The following is a 21,272-nucleotide window of genomic DNA, read 5'->3' on the forward strand; positions in this document are numbered from 1 at the left end:
TGCCCTGCTGGGTTTCAGACTTTCATGGGGTCTGTATCCCCTTTGTTTTGACTAATTTCTCCAATTTGGAATGGGAGCATTTATCCAATTCCTGTACCCTCATGGTATCTAGGAAGTAACTAACTTGCTTTTGATTTTACAGGCTTATAGGCCAAAACGTCTTGCCTTGTCTCAGATGAGACTTTGAACTGTGGGCTGTTGAGTTACTGCTGAAATGATTTAAGACTCTGGGGGACTGTTAGGAAGGCATGATGTTGGGTTGGAAATGTAAAAAATATGTGAGATCTGGGAGGGTCCAGGGGTGGAATGATATGGTTTGGCTCTATATCCCCACCCAAATCTCATCTTGAATTGTAATCTTCATAATACCCATGTGTTGAGGGCAGGACCTGGTGGAAGGTGATTGGATCATGTGGGCGGTTTCTGCCATGCTGTTCTTATGATAGTGAGTGAGTTCTCAGGAGATCTGATGGTTTTGTTAAGTGTTTCACAGCTCCTCCTACACACAATCCTTCTCTCTCCTGTTGTCTTGTGAAGAAGATGACTGCTTCCCATTTCACCATGACTGTAAGTTCCATGAGGCCTCCTCAGCCATGCAGAACTGTGACTCAATTAAACATCTTTCCTTTATGAATTACCCAATCTCAGGTAGTGTCTTTATAGTAGTGTGAGAATGGACTAATACAAGTACATTTTACTTAGTAATAATAATAAACAAATATATTACATTTTCGTGTATTTACTATACCATATTTTTTATTGTTATTGTAGTGTACACCTTCTACTTATTAAAAGAAATAGGCCCGAGGCGGGCAGATCACGAGGTCAGGAGATCGAGACCATCCTGGCTAACATGGTGAAACCCCATCTCTACTAAAAATACAAAAAATTAGCCAGGCCTGGTGGGGGGCGCCTATATTCCCAGCTATTCGGGAGGCTGAGGCAGGAGAATGGCGTGAACCCAGGAGGCGGAGCTTGCAGTGAGCCGAGATCACGCCACTGCACTCCAGCCTGTGCGACAGAACGAGACTCTGTCTCAAAAAAAAAAAAAAAAAAGAAATAGGCAACTGTAAAACAGCCTCACAGTGGTCCTTCACGAGGCATTTCAGAGGGCATTGTTATGATAGGAGATGTCAACAGATCCATATGCATTATTGGCCTAGAGGAGCTTCCAGTGGGACAAGATCTGGAGGTAGAAAACAGTGATGTTGATCATACTGACCCTGTGTAGGACTACGCTAGTATGTGCATTTGTGTCTTTGTTTTTAACAACAACAACAAAAAAATTAAAAGTTAAAAGATGTAAAATTACAAAAAAACTTAGAGAATAAGGATATAAGGAAATAAAGTATTTCTGTGTACAATATGCGTTTTAAGCTAAGTGTTATTACAAAAGAGTCAAAAAGTTAAAAATAAGTTAAAAAGTTTATAAAGTAAAAAAGTTACTGTAGGATAAGTTTAATGTATTTTGAAAGAAAGAAGTTTTTTTTACAAATTTTATAAATTCAGTGTTTATAAAGTCTACAGTTTTGTACAATGATGCCCTAGGCATTTACGCTCACTCACCACTTACTCACTAACTCTCCCAGAGCAACTCCTAGTCCTGCAAACTTAATTTATAGTAAGTGCCCTAATCAGGTATACCATTTTTGATTTTTGACTGGATTTTTTACTGTACCTTTTTTTTATGTTTAGATACACAAATATTTACCATTGTGTTGCAAATGCCTACAGTATTCAGCACAGTAACATGCTGTATAGGTTTGTAGCCTAGGATCAACAGGCTGTACCACATAACCTAGGGTGTGTAGTAGGTTATGCTATCTCTATTTACACATAGAATACACTATATGATGTTACACAGTGAAGAAATTGCCTAATGCATTTCTCAGAATGTAATTTTTGTCATTAAGTGATGCAACATTGTATTTAAAAACACTATAAATAAATTAAGATGGAAACTTAACATGTTTACGTAACCCATTGGAAAGCAAGAAAAAGACACAGAGGAATAAGAAACAGAAACAAACAGAAACAAATAACAAAGTGGTAGACTTCAACCACAACATATAAATTGTTAAACATAAAAGGCCTATAGAAACCAACTAAAAAACATAGATTGGCAGAGTAGTTAAAAAAACAAAAATCAAAAACGAAAAAACATGGCCAACAATATTGTCCAAATTGCATTTGTACCCCATAAATAAATAATTTTTAAAATTCTGTCTATATAAAACTAACTTCAAATACAGCATAGGTAAGATAAAAGTAAAAAGAGAGAAACAGTAAAATAATTTAAAAATGCAAGTGAGGTTATAGTAATATATCAGCTACATAAATTTTATTTTATTATTATTATTATTATTATTATTATTATTATTATTATTATTTTGAGACAGAGTCTCACTCTGTCACCCAGGCTGGAGTGCAGTGGAGCAATCTCAACCTCACTGCAAGCTCCACCTCCCAGGTTCATGCCATTCTCCTGCCTCAGCCTCCCGAGTAGCTGGTACTACAGGTGCCCACCACCACGCCCAGCTAATTTTTTTGTGTTTTTAGTAGAGACGGGGTTTCACCGTGTTAGCTAGGATGGTCTCGATCTCCTGACCTTGTGATCTGCCAGTCTCAGCCTCCCAAAGTGCTGGGATTACAGGCATGAGCCAGGGTGCCTGGCCCAGCTACATAAATTTTAAAAAGTAAAAAAAGTCAAATTGCATTTTTAAATATTTTACATTCCATTGCCATTCAAAGAAATAACATTGTTTTCAATACGATTAAGCAAGTATCATTAGACCTAGAAATAGCCACAATCATTTCTTAAAAAGATTATTAATATTTATTTATTTATTTATTTTTAGGCGGAGTCTCACTCTGTTCGCCAAGCTGGAGTGCAGTGGTGCGGTCTCAGCTCACTGCAATTTCTGCCTCACCCTCCCAAGTAACTGGGATTACAGGCACGTGCCACCACATACGGCTAATTTTTGTATTTTTAGTAGAGACTAATTTTTGTACTTTTAGTAGAGACAGGGTTTCACCATATTGGCCAGGCCGGTCACAAACTCCTGACCTCAGGTGATTGGCCCGCATCAGCCTCCCAAAGTGCTGGGATTACAGGCGTAAGTCATCGTGCCCAGCTAAGATTTCTAATATTTATAAGCTCTACCTTCTTTCTTGGAGAAATGACTTTATAATTTCACTTTCTAATTCAGTTACCTGTTGAAACTAAATTAAAATATATTCATATGCAAAATGCAAGTAAATAAAAACAGCAGCTTTCTCTATGCTAAAAGAAAGTTCCTTTGGAGCTCATTTCCTTGACAATGGAAGAAAGTACTTCACTGCACTATCTTCATTATGCAAATAAAGGTGCATTTTAGCTCTTTTGAAGAAGAAGAGGAAGAACATGTCTCTCAAATAGCAGGAAAGAACAAATTTCCTTAAGCAAGAGTGAGGGAAAGTTCATCAACACCAACCCTAGGTACATCTTCATTCAGACTTGAAAAGCTTTTGAATAGCGTCTGTTTATTCCTGTTAGAACTGAACTGGCAGGAAAAGACAATGGAGAAGCCACAAAGAGGAGTAGCTAGGTAGCAGCATTCAGGTCCACAATGCCTGGATTTCATTATTATTATTCTACTGTATCTTCAGGCAGTTTATGTAAATCATCTGTTATTGAGTTCTCTCATCTGGAAGATGAGGGTACTAATAGTTCCAGAGTTCTTACATTAGTGCTGTTGCCGTTAGTTATCATCATTTAAGTGTCTGTTCTTATTGTTCAAAGAGTGACTCGCAGTTGAGAGTCCCTGGGACCTGAAGTAGGGAGGTGGAGAATTTTGCATTGGAGTATACTGTTATCTTAACCTTGGAGGCCTGAGTGTTCTTAGGTAAAAGACTGCTTTGGAGGCTGCAAATGGAACTAGAATCCCACCAGATCACAGCCATCTGACTTGGTTGCATTTTTATGGAAACCAGGATGTTGAGGATGTGAGACTGATATAAAAGCACTAGGATATTCACAGGGTAAAAGTCAGGAGGATCATAACAGCACAGTACTAGAGAACCAGTACATAGTGGTGTGATGAATGAAAGCCACTGACATAACTTTCGCATCTTGTCTTCCTGTATTCTTTCCTTCTGTGACAGTTCTTGAGATCATGACCTCTTTTGGAATGGTGTTCTCAGAAGTCCTTGGACAATCAGGGTGTACTGGGAGAAAACATGCTGTGAGATGGGATGAAAGTCTTCAGGATAGACACTATACTTTCTGTTATTGGAGGATTCGGTAGTTTGAATAAGCATTTGAATGAATAAAATATTTGAGTTGAGGACTAAATTCTGATTTTTTTTTTTCATCTTGCCCAAATTCCTATTTAAAGAAACTGGGAGTCAGCCCTACGAATGATAACATCTCTTTACATGGGTTTTTTATTAACCCTATATAATGTGGCTTGCTTTCCAACCTGACTCTGGTACAGCATCACATAACAGACAGCAGACCCTGAAGGATATAAAAATATTTTGCCCTAAAATATATTTCTTTGATGTGTTTTGAAATGGCTGTTGCAAGGCCAGCAAACTGAGGTAGAGGAAATTTGCATCTATGGAGAATCTTCATTAATGCAGCCATGCTTCCCCTTTCTATGCCTTTCCAGGACCTAGGAGTGATTGAGAGTCTGATACCTTTAAAGGTCTGAAAAGAAACATTTACCATCTATTCTCTCTGAGGGCCACCTATGAGGCTTCATCTACTTAATAAGATCCTTGGTCTTTCCCCCACTCTTATCTGAACTCAGGCATTCCTTTCTATCGATTTCAAGACTTTAGACAATAGCATAACTCTCTCAACCAATTGTCAACTAAAGGATCCCTAAAACCCACTTATGACGTACAAGCTCCTCCCCTGACCTACCTGCAATTACCTGCAATTGGTTGTCTCCTTGGAATGTATAAAAACAAACTGTAACCCGGTTGCCTTGGGCATGCTTTCCGAACCTCTTGAGATAGTGTAACCCAGGCCTTGGTCACTTATACTGGCTCTGAATAAACCTCTTTAAATATATTTTGACAGAATTTGTTTTTTGTGTATTTTTCTGTGTATTTCTACCTCTGAGAAGAGGAGTAATTTATACTCTTTACAAATCATGGTCAGGTATGACTGGTGCTAGAATGAGGATGAAGGGAAGAGAAAAGGAAGAAATAATTCTCCACTCTTTGTTTCCAATTTTAGTTCTTTAAAGTAAAAGTACAAAACATTTTGTAGAGATGTAGCTTGTGGTGGCATGGTTGAAAAACTTCTGCACTTTATGATTCCTCCACTACAGTGTGATAATGTTTTAAATAGCATTTAAAATGTAGATTCTGTCCAATCCTTACAATTAACTTTTTTATTGTTTGGAATCCATGAAGTTGGTATATGCATGAGCAGATACATATTTATTTAAGAAAAAAAATTAGGCCTTACAGAAAATTGGTTTCTCAGAGACATGATAAAAGTTACCAGATGTCTCTCAGACTATATCTATGAAAAAATACATAACCAAATAGACACCAATTGCAAATGAATTAATTACATTGAAATTCTAATAACTTTCATTTCCTAAACTGACATTGATGGAAAAGAATTCTAAGATATAAAATAAGCTCTACTTCATCCTGCTTTCAATAGCACATGATTTAATCAGAATATATAATACTGTTGAGCACATAAATATTATTTTCATTACTTAATGATGATAATTATGACTATTTTCATTGCTATAATTTTGGTCATGCCATATTGATTAGCAATAAAATATATACTTAGCTAGAGAGGCAGCTAATCCAAAACTTTTGGGATTTCTTTTTTTTTTTTAGATTATTGGTGCTCCTCCTCCTGTCATTGAGGTTAAAATTAAATGTTACATATTCCTTCTCTGTGTATGTGTATCTTATTTCCTCATATTCTACCTCTTCAGAGTAGTGTGTGTGAGTGCCTGCACACACACTTGCATGTGAGAGCTTCTAATATCTAAATTAATGTTGAATCATTATTCAGAAACAGAGAGCTAACTGTTATCCCATCCTGACTTTATTCTTTATGAAGAAAAATACAGTGATTCCAAGTTACCAAGTTAGTGCTGCTTGCTTTATAAATGAAGTAATATTTTAAAAGTTGTGCATAAGTTAAAATTCAGAAATAAAACTTCATCCTAAAACTCTGTGTGTTGCTTTAAATAATCAGAGCATCTGCCTACTTAATTTTTTGTGTGTGGGTGCACAATAGATGTTTAATGAGATCCTGTCATCTGTCTGCTTTTTTATTGTAAAACAGGAGGGGTTTTAATACTGGAGGAACAACTGATGTACCTCTGAAAAAGAGAGAGATTAGTTATTAATTGAATTGAGGGTTGTCTTGTCTTAGTAGCTTTTATTCTCTAGGTACTATTTGATTATGATTGTGAAAATAGAATTTATCCCTCATTAAATGTAAAATCAACAGGAGAATAGCAAAAACTTATGAGATAGATGAACGTTGTGTGAGTGGCATGGTTTAATTTGTTTGGAAGAAGCACTTGCCCCAGAAGATACACAATGAAATTCATGTTATTGAGTAGAGTAGTAATACAGTGTGTTCCCTTGTGAAGTTCATAACCAAGAATTTTAGTAGTGGATAGGTAGGCTGAATAACTGACTTCCTATCATTTTCAGGTTCTGCGTTTGATTTTTTTTACATATTAATTTCTTTGATCCACATTAAGCTCAGTTATGTATTTCCATTTTATAAATGAAAAAAAATAGGCACTTGCAAATGTCAGATCACTTGCCTGTGGTCATTCGGGTAGAGATTTGTGGAGCTAAGTTGGTCTTAATCAAATGTCAAGCTTTTTTTTTTCTTATAAAATATAGGTTTTAATATGAGTTTTAAAATAAAATTAATTAGAAAAAGGCAAATTACTCAATATATATAAGGTATTGCATTTGTAATAGGTAGGTATTTCATTTTCTAGTTATGGTGGGATATTATTCAGACTATAATTCCCAATGAAAAAACTTTAAAAAATGCTAGTGATTGCACACTTAAAACACCTTTTAAAAAGCATTGAGAGCTTATAAAATTTTAATGAGTGATCAAACCAAATTTGAAGAGAAAAGAAGAACCCAGAGAGGTAAGGATATAACCTTACCAGTTGCAATTTGCCGATCTCTACAAATATTAATATTTATTTTGACAGTTTCAGGGTGAATGAGAAAGAAACCAAAACCCAAGACTAGCATATGTTGTCTTCTTAAGGAGCCCTCCCCTAAAAGATTGAGATGACCAAATCTTATACTCTCAGCATAAGGTGAACCAGACAGACCTAAAGCAGTGGTAGCTTGGATCCACTACTTGGGTTTGTGTGATGGCGTGACTCAGGTAATCTCAAGAATTGAACATTTTTTTAAGGTGGTCCTACTCATACACTGCCCAGGTATTAGGGAGAAGCAAATCTGAATGCTTTATAAAAATACCCTAAAGCTAAATCTTACAATATTCTCAAGAACACAGTGAAACAAGGCAAAATAAGTTAAAATCAACAAAAACAACATGAAACATAATTAGACACACAAAGACTTCAAACATTGGAAAATACCAGAGAAAGATAATAAATATTTTACTCTTTAAAAATTTAGTTAAAAGCTTAAACTAATTGTAGAGAAAAAACTATGTTAGTATTATATTGTAGATGAAATAAGCAAAACATTTAAAATACAAATGTGATTACTTAAATTAAATATAATAGATAATTTACCACCAGATTAGATACCATTGAAGGAATAATTAATATACTGAAATACAGGTCAGTAGAATTTTTTTTCAATTCAGCATGGAGATGTAAAAAATGAAAATTAATGCAAAAAATAAGGGCACAAAAAGAAATGAGTAATTTTGATCAGAAATGTATTAAAATTAATAAACTGGAAATTTGACATTTAAAAAAAGCATTGTCATCCAAGTAGATGTGTCTATTAAATAGTTGTTCTCATATCCAGTAATGTAATTATTATTCCCTCTCATGCAGTTCAGATTCTGGGGTAATCTTTAGACATCAGTTTTGTCTTTTATATTATTTATTCTGTTTACTACATTTTATTTTGCTAATGATATTTTTAATTTCTGACATTCTGGAGTATTGCTTGTAAAAGGTATTTTTAAAAATACTTTATGGTTATTTTTGTGATTCCTATTCCTCTATGGACACCAAGGCTATTGACATTTTCTTTGGTTTCTTCTGTTACTTCTATTTTCTTAGTGTTTATATCATTTCATAGATAGGATATTCTTTATTTTTTATTTTTATTTAAATATTTGGTGATTCTTGGTTTTCTCAGCCATCTATTGTCAAGTGTTCTTATTAAGCATTATTATTAAATAAAGATTATTTCCTCTAATCACATGAGAATCTTTATTTCCCCCAAGTAATTGAAAATTGCAATGCCATGCTGCCATGTGGTACAGCATGGGTTTGGGCTTGCTTTCTTCTTTTTTTTTTAACTTTTATTTTAGGTTTGGGAGTACCTGTGAAAGTTTGTTATATAGGTAAACTCGTGTCACCAGGGTTTGTTGTACAGATCATTTTGTCACCTAGGTACCAAGTACTCAACAATTATTTTTCCTGCTCCTCTGTCTCCTGTCACCCTCCACTCTCAAGTAGACTCCGGTGTCTGCTGTTCCATTCTTTGTGTCCATGTGTTCTCATAATTTAGTTCCCCACTTGTAAGTGAGAACATGCAGTATTTTCTAGTATTTGGTTTTTTGTTCCTGTGTTAATTTGCCCAGTATAATAGCCTCCAGCTCCATCCATGTTACTGCAAAGAACATGATCTCATTCTTTTTTATAGCTCCATGGTGTCTATATACCACATTTTCTTTATCTAAACTCTTATTGATGAGCATTGAGGTGGATTCTATGTCTTTGCTATTGTGCATATTGCTGCAATGAACATTTGTGTGCATGTGTCTTTATGGTAGAATGATATATTTTCTTCTGGGTATATATGCAGTAATGCGATTGCTGGTTGGAATGGTAGTTCTGCTTTTATCTCTTTGAGGAATTGCCATGCTGCTTTCCACAATAGTTGAACTAACTTACACTCCCACTAACAGTGTGTAAGTGTTTCCTTTTCTCCACAACCTGCCAGCATCTGTTATTTTTTGACATTTTAATAGTAGCCATTTTAACTGGTATGAAATTATATTTCATTGTGGTTTTAATTTGCATTTCTCTAATGATCAGTGATATTGAGTTTGTTTTTTTTCACATGCTTGTTGGCTGCATGTATGTCTTCTTTTAAAAAGTGTCTGTTCATGTACTTTGCCCACATTTTAATGGGGTTGTTTTTCTCTTGTAAATTTGTTTAAATTCCTTATAGGTGCTGGATTTTAGACATTTGTCAGACGCATAGTTTGCAAATAGTTTCTCCCATTCTGTAGGTTGTCTGTTTATTTTGTTAATAGTTTCTTTTGCTATGCAGAAGCTCTTAATAAGTTTAATGAGATCCTGATATGTTAGGCTTTGTGTCCCCACCCAAATCTCATCTTGAATTATAATCTCCATAATCACCACATGGAGAGACCAGGTGGAGGTAATTGAATCTGGGGGTGGTTTCACCCATGCTGTTCTTGTGATAGTGAATGAGTTCTCACGAGATCTAATGGTTTTATGAGGGGCTCTTCCCAGCTTTGCCTGGTACTTCTCCTTCCTGCCGCTTTGTGAAAAAGGTGCATTGCGTCCCTTTCACCTTCTTCTATAATTGTAAGTTTCCTGAGGCCTTCCCAGCCATGCTGAACTTCAAGTCAATTAAACCTTTTTCTTTATAAATTACTCAGTCTCTGGTGGTTCTTTATAGCAGTGTGAAAATGGACTAATGAAGTTCCCATTTATGAATTTTTGCTTTTGTTGCAATTGCTTTTGACATCTTAGTCATGAAATCCTTGCCTGTTCTAAGTACAGGACGGTATTGCCTAGGTTGTCTTCCAGGGTTTTTCTAATTTTGTGTTTTGCATTTAAGTGTTTAATCCATCTTGAGTTGATTTTTGTATATTGTGTAAGGAAGGGGTCCAGTTTCAATCTTTTGCATATGGCTAGTTAGTTATCCCAGTACCATTTATTGAAAAGACAGTCTTTTCCCCATCGCTCGTTTTTGTCAGTTTTATTGATGATCAGATAATCATAGCTGTGTGGCTTTATTTCTGGGTTCTTTATTCTGTTCTATTGGTTTATGTCCCTGTTTTTGTGCCAGTACCATGCTGTTTTGGTTAACATAGCCCTGTAGTATAGTTTGAGGTCAGATAGCCTGATGCTTCCAGCTTTGTTCTTTTTCTTAAGATTGCCTTGGCTATTTGGCCTCTTTTTTGGTTCCACATGAATTTTAAAACAGTTGTTTCTAGTTTTTGAAGAATGTCATTGGTAGTTTGATAGAAATAGCATTTAATCTGTAAATTGATTTGTGCAGTATGGCCTTTTAATGATATTGATTCTTCCTATCCATGAGCATGATATGTTTTCCATTTTGTTTGTATCCTCTCTGATTTCTTTGTGCAGTGTTTTGTAATTCTCATTGTAGAGATTTTTCACCTCCCTGGTTAGTTGTATTTTACCCTAGATATTTTATTCTTTTTGTGAAAATTGTGAATGGGATTGCCTTCCTGATTTGACTGCCAGCTTGGTTACTGTTGGTTTATAGAAATGCTAGTGATTTTTGTACATTGATTTTCTTTCTAAAACTTTGCTGAAGTTTTTTTTATTAGCAGAAGGAGCTTTGGGGCTGAGACTATGGGGTTTTCTAGATATAGAATCATGTCAGCTTCAAATAGGGATAATTTTACTTCCTCTCTTCCTATTTGGATGCCCTTTATTTCTTTCTCTTGCCTGATTACTCTGGCTGGGATTTCCTATGTTGAATAGGAGTCATGAGAGAGGGCATCAAATCTACACATATCAAATACTAACCTTGAATGTAAGTGGGCTAAATGCCCCACTTAAAAGGTAAAGGGGGGCAAGCTGAATAAAAAAGCAAGACTCAATGGTATGCTGTCTTTGAGACCTATCTCACATGTGATGACACCCATAGGCTCAAAATAAAGGAATGGAGGAAAATCTACCAAGCATGTAGAAAACAGAAAAAAGCAGGGGTTGCATCCTAATTTCAGACCAAACAGACTTCAAACCAACAAAGTTCAAAAAAGACAAAGAAGGGGCCGGGAGTGGTGGCTCACACCTGTAATCCCAGCACTTTGGGAGGCCAAGGTGGGTGGATTACCAGGTCAGGAGATCGAGACCATCCTGGCCAACATTGTGAAACCCCATCTCTACTAAAATCCAAAAAAAAAAAAAAAAAAAAAAAATTAGCTGGGCTTGGTGGTGTGTGCCTGTAGTCCCAGCTACTCGGGAGGCTGAGGCAGGAGAATCACTTGAACCCGGGAGGCGGAGATTGCAGTGAGCTGAGATTGTGCCACTGCACTATAGCCTGGCGACAGAGTGAGGCTCCATCTCAAAAAAAAAAAAAAAAAAAAAGACGAAGTGCATTACATAATGATGAAGGGTTTTACTCAACAAGAAGACCTTACTAACCTAAATATATATGCACCCAACACAGGAACACCCAGATTCATAAAGTAAGTTCTTAGAGTACAAAGAGGCTCCCACACAATAATAGTAGGAGACTTTAACACACCACTGACAGTCATAGACAGATCATCAAGGTAGAAAATTAACAATGATATTCAGGATCTGAACCCAACATTCCACCAAATGAGTCTGATAGACATCTACAGAACTCTCCATCCAAAAACAACAGAATATACATTCTTCTCATCTCCACATGGCACATGCTCTAAAATTGACCACATAATGCCTTTCTTTTCAGTGGTCCATATGTAAGTCTTTTGAAAGTGGCAGCATCTCTACTGCTTATGCTTGTTGCAAGGAACTCTACTGAATACAAGGAACTTTACTAATCTCTAATGCTTGTGAGTAGATTCTGAACTCATCATTTAGAAAGCTAAACTGGGGGCTTTCTTCCCAGAGCAAAGACATAAAACAAACCTCAATTGAGCGTGGGACAGGGAGTCATATGCTGTAAATTTCTTGGACAGTTATTATTCTATGGACCAATTACCGTTCCCTTGTATCTCTAATTTTGGGATTATTTCTGGATTAAAACACACAAAAAAATCAGACTGTAAAAAGTCATCATTTCTACCAGTGTGAGAATATGTATTCCTCACCTTTACTGGGATTCACTGCCAGTATATATACAAATGACTTATACACACACATACACACACGCACATACACACACACGTGTGTGTGTGTAGGTATGTCTGTAATAGGTATTTATATGTTTGCCTGTCTTTCTATTAGAATTGAGATACAGCAAAATGCACAGAAATTAAGCATTCAATTTAGTAAGTTTTCACAAATGTACATATTTAATCAATATCTCAATCAACGCAAAAACCATTGTTTCACCTCTGAAGATAATTTTTAATCTTTTGCAAATTATTGAGACTTATTTAATGGCCGAGACTACATAGTCCTTCATAAACGTTCCATGTAAATTTGATAAAAATATTTTCATGAAATTTTTTGTGTAGTGTTCTAAAACTTGAAATTAGACTACATTAGTTGATAGTATTATTAGAATCTTCCAAATCCTTACTAATTTTTATTTGTTCATCTATTGTTTATTTTGAGCCGATGATTAAAATCTTCAACTATGACTGAAAGTCTTTCTATTTTTCTGTTTAGTTCTGTCTGTTTTTACTTCGTGCATTTTGACACTCTGTTATCAGTTGTATAAACATTGAGAATTATAATGCATTGCTAATGAGCTTAACCTTTTATCATTCCATCTCTGATATTTCAGCTTATTTTGAATCCTACTTTCTCTGGTATTAGCCAGCTACATCAGTTTTACTTCCTTTCATTTTCAACCAATTTTATGACTCTGTCTCAAAAAAAAATGCATTCATTGTACAGAGCATATAGTTTTGTCCTTTTTAAATCCAGTCTCAGAATTGCTAGCTCTTAATTTGAGTGCGTTATGGGTTGAATTGTCTGCCAAAAAAAACATATGTTGAAGTCCTTACCCCAGTAATTAAGGATGCGACCTTATTTAAAGATAGGATCTTTATAGATGTAATCAAGTCAAAATGGGATCATTAGAGTGGCCTCTAATCCAATGTGATTGGTGGCCTTATGAAAGGGGGAAATTTGGACACAAAAATGCCACCAGAAAGCACAACATATGAACATGAAGAAAGCCATCTAAAAGCCACGGAGAGATGTCTAGAACAGATTCTTCTGCACAGCCTTTATAAGGAACCCGTACCTTGAATTCAGACTTCTAGCCTTCAGGACTTGAGATAATACATTTTTGTTGCTTGAGGCACCTAGTTTATGGTACTTTGTTATATAACCCTAGGAAACTAATATAAATGTTCAATCCATTTACATTTAATCAGTGATGTCAGTGTTGTTAAATCTACCATGTTACTATTTGCCTACTATTTTCTTATTTGGGTGATGTTCTCTTCCCTTGGTTGTTGATATTTCTTTCTTCACCAGTTCAGTGTTACCTTCCTTAGAGTAAATGGATATTTTTCAATATTTCATTTTAATTATGCTATTGGCTTTATACCCTTCATACATGTATTCCTGTTGATTTGATGTTCTTGGATCTCTGCACTGAAATTTTTCATCAAAATTTGAAAACACTGGCAATTATTTCTTCAAATATATTTTTTCTTTCCCATTTTCTGACTCATCCTTTTGAGACTTCATTTGTGTATAGGTTTGATGGCTTGATATCCCATGTCATTCAATCTCTTATTTTAATCATTTTCCTCTTTTGTTTGAGATTAGATAAATTCAAAAATGGTTTTCAAGGTTATTTGTCTGCTTTTCAGATGGCTGAAATCTGAGAGTATACCCTGCCAGTGACTCTTTCATTGTATATTTTGCACTTGTTACTTCAACAATGTTCATTACTGAAAATTTCCTTTTTTGTTCTATCATTGTGACAATATCTCCATAGTCTAAGGACATATTCATAATATATATCTGTTCATTTCAATGCCTGGGTCATTATCATGTATGTTCTATTGACTGCTTTTTTCCCCTTGATTATTTATTAAATTTTCCTGCTTCTTTGCATAACTTGTATTTTTGACTAATACACCGTAGAGAATCTAGATGTTGTCTTCTTGTAAAGGGGCCTAAGATAGTCCTTTGAAAGCTGTTAAGTGGCTTCCAGATCCTTTTGATCTGCCATGCCTGGTTTCATTATTTGTTAAGGAAAATCTCTTTCATTTTTGTTCTTAAATATAGGACATAGTCTTTACTGAAAGAAATAGTCCTTGTTCTTAATGCCTGGAATATTCAGTAAAATATCTTCCCTGTGGCTAGTCAGTAACCCAAACATCTCCTTGTCCTGTTACTACTGATATCTTATTCCCACAGTATCTGCTTTCAGCAGGTCTTGCAGATGTTAACCCTGCTCAGGTATAGAGCAGCTTTTGACGAAATTGGTGCCAAACACTTATTCTGGCTTCTGTAGGCCTACCCCATGCCTCTTTTTCCTTTCCTATACAAATTTCAGCCGCTTCAGCAGCTCTCAGATAACAATCACTTAAGCAACTTTAAGCTATTTACAAATATCGATAGATAGATAGATAGATAGATAGATAGATAGAGAGATGATATAGATAGAGATTTAATTCTAATTTTAGATTCAGGGGGTATATGTGCAGGTTTGTTACAAAGTTATATTGCTTGCTGCTACTGTTTGGGCTTCCACTGATCCTGTCACCCAGGTAGTGAACTGAATACCTAACAGGAAGTTCCTTGGCTCTTGTCCCTCTACCCCTACCTCTTTTTGGAACCTAATTAAATTAAGAGCTTCTGCATAGCAAAAGAAATTATCAACAAATAAGCAGACAACCTACAAAATGAGAGCATTAAGCTTTAATCTCTTCCTCTAAACTCGTTATTTTTAGAGTCTGCCTCCTTGTTTAATGGGAGAAAAAGTGCCCCTAGTCACATTCTCTGGTTAAATGTGGTGCTTACCTCACGGCTTTCTTTTCTCTTGAGTATGAAAAACTTGTACTTCTTGTTTGATGCATAAAACCTGTTTCCTTATATATGTTGCCCAGTCTTATCATTGTTTATAGTGAAAAGGCAAGTCCCTCCAATAATTCTATTACGGCCAAAGACTAAAGTGCCTCTGATATGACTTATGTCCTTCAGAAATTGCTTATTCTTTAGTCTGTTGGTAGAATTCTTCTCAACTTTCCATAGTTATTTTAATAAGTACTATATTTTCCTATTTCAATGGCAATTTGGAATAAAGGAGAAATAAATGTATTTGTTTGGTCCATCTTTGTGAATTCAAACTGTTAAGTCATTACTTTTCACGTCCACTACACATATTACTGCACAGTAATTCCTTGTTTACACCTATAATCTTCCTCTCCTGTTTTCCTAGTTTCTATTCAAGTATTTGGGGTAACTGATATTTCTTAAAACAATATGTATTCTTGGAAAGAGATGTTTCTAGAATCCCCTTCTTAGGTGACTTATTAGGAAAAATTATAAGAAGAATGAGAATAGAGAAGAAAAGTAATTGAAGACATCTACTTCAACTCTAAATCCCCATAGGAGAAAAATGGCTAGCACTTATTTAAATGCCCTTCTTAGGTGACTTATTAGGAAAAATTATAAGAATAAGAATGAGGATAGAGAAAAGTAATTGAAGATACCCACTTCAACTCTAAATCCCCACAGGAGAAAAATGGCTGGCGCTTATTTAAACTCATCTAGGGTTTAGTTTTGCTGATGTTGTTTTTCCAATAATAATGTTTCAATTATTATAACAGCAATTTCAGTGAAATATGGTACTTACCAGCTAAGTTTTACACAAGGAAGCACTTTCCTAAACACTTCCCCATCCTTCTTAAAAGTTTGAATCCAAATCTTTTGTACTCCAGGGCTTATTTTGTTTTTCCTGCAGCATTCTGCCTTTCTAGAATTAGCACTAGTTACCCTCAGGAAAAACAAATACATGGACCCATAAAATAATCTTTGGAAGTCTTTCTTCTCCTGCTAGTTACCAAATTATAATCTTCTTATTGTAAAAATAAAATAAAATAAAAAATAAAAAGAACTATTTTACTCTAATAAGTTTCCCATTAAGCTAAGCCTGCTTTTGTTGTATTAGAGATTAACATATGTAGACAGTGTTCTTTTTGACTGGAAATGGGGATTAGTTATGGTTCAAGTAATGCATAAACAAGATGTATTTTTAAAAATACATTATATTTATGCATTATATTTAAGCAGCCATTTGTAAAAAGCTGAAACTTATTAGAAAGTGAATTCTTCATAATCATGTTTGTATTTTCAATGTTTAGGATTATTTGTTAGCTTAGGTATAGACTAGACTATTTTTCTAAACAAACAGGAATAAGAAATATAGGTAGTAAAATTTACATGACCTGGTAAAATTTAAAATATCCATTCTGACTAACAGGCAGTGATGAGAACAATAAATAAAATATATCTTGGTTTAAATTCTAAGTAAATATATTTGACAATAGAAATATAAACATACTCATAGGAGTGAATTGCTTCTAATTCTGGCCTTTAGCTAAATAAGCACTTAATGCTAGTAAGAAAAATACATTATTTCATAAAGATAACAACTTCTTTCAGAAATAGTAATTATATTTTTAAAGAGTTTGGGGAAAATAGAAGTGTATACTCTAATCTTATAGCAAAGTTTCTGCTAAGTTTTCGTGATGCCAATGTTTTCATTATGAATCATTTCACTGTCAAACAAAATGTACGCTATTGATTAAACACAGGCAAAAAGAGAGGGGAAAAAGGGTATATTAAAAAAAGACCTTTGGTTATTCCGGCTGCCACCAATTGCTTTCTTGTTTCAGCTGAATTTTGAAGTAGCTAATCATATTTTGGCATTTTCTTGTCATCAAAGCATTTCATGAAATTATCCCATTACAATGTTTTTCTCAGAGGCAAAATTAACATGGTTGACAGTTTAATTGACATATTTCTTTTTCGTTGTGTGCCTTTGCCAATTAAACAAATTGCACCCTATTTTGATGTTCATTTTGTTAATTATTTGTAAAACTGTAGACTCTGATTTTTTTTTTTTTAATTTTCAAGTGTCAGTTTCTTGGTCGGGAATGAAAATAGTGCCAACCTGTGATACCTTCACTCTAATTTTACTTTCTGAGGAAGTTTTCTGTAATAGTTACTTGGTGATAATTATTAATACTGGTGAGTTTTAAAAATTTTGCTTTCAGCAATTTTCCATTTTTTTCAGCATACTTATATCACAATGAGGCAACCAAATATGAATCCTGAGAATGAAGATGGAAAATGAATATTTTAATCCAATATCGAGTTGTTCTTTCAACATTTTTAGTTTTAGTTTTAACTGAAAATATAAAGTTACATAATTGTGTGAGGAATAATTTTTGCAGAGAAATTTTTAAAAATTCACAAAAGGAAAAAGAAACCTTTACCATGAGTCTATAACATTGAAAGACTGTGTTTAAGTGATTTTAATAAAGCCAAACCAACACTTTCAGCAGGAACTAAATGGCAGCATCTGATTTCACGCTGATACATATGTATTAGTGTGGTGCTCACTTTTACCCTTCATTTTACCTTGGGTCTTGCCATTTTCTTTCTATTTTTACGTTTTTTTTTTTTTTTTTCTTTTGGAAGAGGTAATTTTTAGGGAGAAAAAAACACTTTTTCCTCATAGGTCGATTTAAAATGTTGGCCTTACCTTAATCTCCTCTCTCAAACTCAATCCACTATGTAATGGGTCAACATACTTTTCTGTGAAGGACCAGATAGTAAATATTTTAGTCTTTGCAGGCCATATGGTCTCTGTTGCCAGCTCTTCCATTGTGGTGTGAAAGCAGCCATAGACAACACAGAAATGAATAAGTGTAACTGTTCCAATAAAAACAGATGATATGTTGAATTTAGCTCACAGAGTTTAGCTTGCTGCCCCTGCAGGAGGCCTTTGGAGTAAAAGCTTCCTGAGAGGAGGAATTTTTGTCTTTTTTGCTCAAGTTCTAGCTCCAGTACCTAAAATAGTGCCTGTCACGTAGGTATTGATGAATATTTGAACCTGTTGAACATACACCTAAAATAAAACATTTGGCAAGATACAGTACTACACAATTTGGAAAACACTTGGCTCCCATAGAAATCAAAGCCTTCCTGAGTAATTAATTATTTGGCCTGATGATGAATTACTGTGCCTGAGATGATAGAGCTAATTTATTTTTCAATTCACTCAGGGGACACACGTTATTTTCACTGTGAATTTGGTTAAAATGAAAAGATTTCCTGCTCTAAGTCCTGGATAGACCTTTATGTAATAGCATACTCTTCACTCTTTTTGAATCGCATGCAGTTGTCACACTGGATGATTTCCAGACAGAGGTTCCAAGTCTTTCATCATGTTTGGGTTAAAGGCCTCATTAACATACTAGTCCTGCCATTTGAGTCTGTTCTCTTCACGGAATATTTTCACCTGAATCAGTGGGTATAATTCATCAGTGTCTGGTTGCTTCAAGTTATTTTTCTTAATGCTGATGTTAATGCATGCCCATCTTTATGCCTCAACACATTGCACAATGAAAAACAAAAATTATTTTGGAAGACACAGCTGACATCTATATGAAATATTCAGTATCAGTGATTGAACTTCAGCAAGCTCCTGTGGCCAGCAGGGTTTTACGGAGGTGCAACTGCTCTCCCATGATCACTTATCATAAAGCCAGAGACAATTGGGCCAACGTAGCATCTTGCCTGCTTTTGTGTACAAAATATAAATAGAATAGAGCAAACAAGGAAAAATAGTCCCGCAGCTGGAAGGCAACTTTAAAGAAAAATGATGTTCATAGCTATCTTGCCAGTAGCTGGCAAAGCAGTTTTTATAAGACATATTTAATGTTTACAACCACTTGGAGGCTGGGGAAGGAGTAATACTTTGCAAATATGTTTAATGTTGTGAACCACTCTGTGGCCGAGAAGCAACTCCGGCTAAAATATATTTAATGCTTAGAGTCATTTGGTGGTTTCGAAAAAAAAGAAACTTCTTGTTAATTTTTAACATTTATTGCTGATCAGTGGCTGCTAAAGTAACTATCAGTACAGCATGGTTTATGTTTAGGGACACGCTGTGCTGCTACTAACACAATTCATACTCTTCTCTCAAGGCTACACAAAAAGTGTCAATAGCATTACCTTTGCAATTGCACCACTAATAAAAACACAGGAATCAAACAGACGAATAAAATGCTCCCTGCCCACACAGCCATAACATCCTATGGCCCTGAAAATAGTCCTGCCAAACTGCGTGCAGTGGACACTTCACGGCTGGCACAGGAGAGATCACAAGGCCTTGCTCAATTTCATCAAAAGTGTTAAAGCGACTCAGCAGATTGTGAAGCACAAGTGGAAGCTGATAATTGGTGTTTCTTACAAATCAACGGCTTGTCTCCACACATCAAGGTAAAGGCGTCCTCTACACCAAGGAAAATGTAAATTGGGATAGAAGGTCATTATGTTTTTAAATAAACTTGGTTAAATTTGTAGAAAGGGCAATGGTAAATACTGAGCTCACATGTCAGATGGAGAGAAAACTTGAGAAAAGGGAAGAAGATAATAAGCTGGAACCTTTACCATTTAGACTTTCTCTGGCTAGTTTTCTGAGAATGATCATCAAACTCTTATGAGGACCCTTTCCAATGTATTGACTGCACTTCCCCAGGGATTGTGGCAAATGGTAAATATACATTTTCTCCTTGCTACTTGCAATAACCCTCTCATAAAGTGTTACTATTATTCACTTGCAGGTGAGAAAATCAATGTAAAAGAGGAGAAATAACCCACACAACTACATACAACTAGGAAATGATAGTTGGATCTGAACAAAAGGATATGCACTCTTAACAAGTTCAACATCCAAGTACTATTGCAAGTACAAGCTGTATTTCATGGAAAAAGAACAGAATAACTCAAAAGGCAGAACGAAGAGCCTAGAGGTCAGAGATGAGAGGCATGAATAATTATTCACAGGCGTTGAATATAATCAAATGACTTGCAACATTTACCACTGGGATTTTAAAATGTGGTGGACCAATCATCTTTTAGTCTGTGCATTTTCCCATTTTTTTCAACAGGAATGTCTAGAGATATTATTCCTGTTTTGCCACTGTATTTTTGGTGAGTGTGTAGTAAGTAACTGGCCTCTTTAGTATCACAAAGCTGGATGAAGAAAATGTGGTACATATACACCATGAGATACTATGCCGCCACAAAAAGGAAATGAGATCATGTCCTTTGCAGGGACGTGGATGAAGCTGGAAGCCATTATCCTTAGCAAAGTAACGCAGGAACAGAAAACCAAACACCACGTGTTGTCTCTTATAAGTGGGAGCTGAACAGTAAGAACACATGGACACAGGGTGGAGAACAATACACACTGAGGCTTGATGGGGGGTGGAGGGTAGGGAGGGGGAGCATTAGAAAAAATAACTAATGCATGCTGGGCTTAATACTTATGTGATGGGTTGATAGGTGCAGCAAACCACCCTGGCACATGTTTATCAATGTAACAAACCTGCACATCCTGCACAGGTACTCCAAAACTAAAAGTAAAAAATCTAAAAGAAAAAAAAAAAAGAATTAAACCCAAAATCACTTCCCCATCTAGACTTGATTTAGATGAAAAGCTCCTGGACTTTGAGCTGATGCTATAGTGGGTTGAAAATTTTGGGGTCCTCAGAAAGGGATGAGAATATATTGCATGACAGAGCAACATGAATCATTGAGAGCCAGAGTATAGACAGTGGTAGGTAGACTGTAGGAGAGCCCTCAGTGATCCCAGCTTTCTTGTATTCGCGTTGCACTTACTTGTAGAATATGGCAGAAGGGATGTGATGTCACTTTCAAGATTAGGTTATAAATAGACTATGGCTTCAATCAGAGGGTTTTCTCTCTGTCTAGCTCTCTTTTGGGTAGTTCATTCTGAGGAAAGCCAGCTGCCACGTTATGATGTAGGCCTGTGAGGTCCACGTAGCAAAGAACATATGGAAGATTTCTACCACCCCCTAACTAAGCCTTTAGATCAGACCGCAACCCCAGCCAACAAGGTAGCTACAAACTCTTGAGAAGCCTTGAGACAGAGGTACTCAATAGAGC

At 35.5% G+C, this 21,272-nt stretch overlaps 1 protein-coding gene and 1 long non-coding RNA gene across 10 annotated transcripts in view; one reads left to right on the forward strand and one right to left on the reverse strand.

The window, feature by feature from the left end:
- CDH12 (cadherin 12) overlaps nt 1-21,272 on the reverse strand; it is a 1,102,672-nt gene that overhangs the window by 197,739 nt on the left and 883,661 nt on the right.
- LOC107986345 (uncharacterized) lies at nt 19,428-20,074 on the forward strand. Its single transcript, XR_001742403.2, has 2 exons — nt 19,428-19,580; nt 19,925-20,074. It is a non-coding gene; the product is annotated as an uncharacterized LOC107986345 (long non-coding RNA).

The sequence above is a fragment of the Homo sapiens genome, chromosome 5 (assembly GCF_000001405.40).
Source record: "Homo sapiens chromosome 5, GRCh38.p14 Primary Assembly".
NCBI lineage: Eukaryota > Metazoa > Chordata > Mammalia > Primates > Hominidae > Homo > Homo sapiens.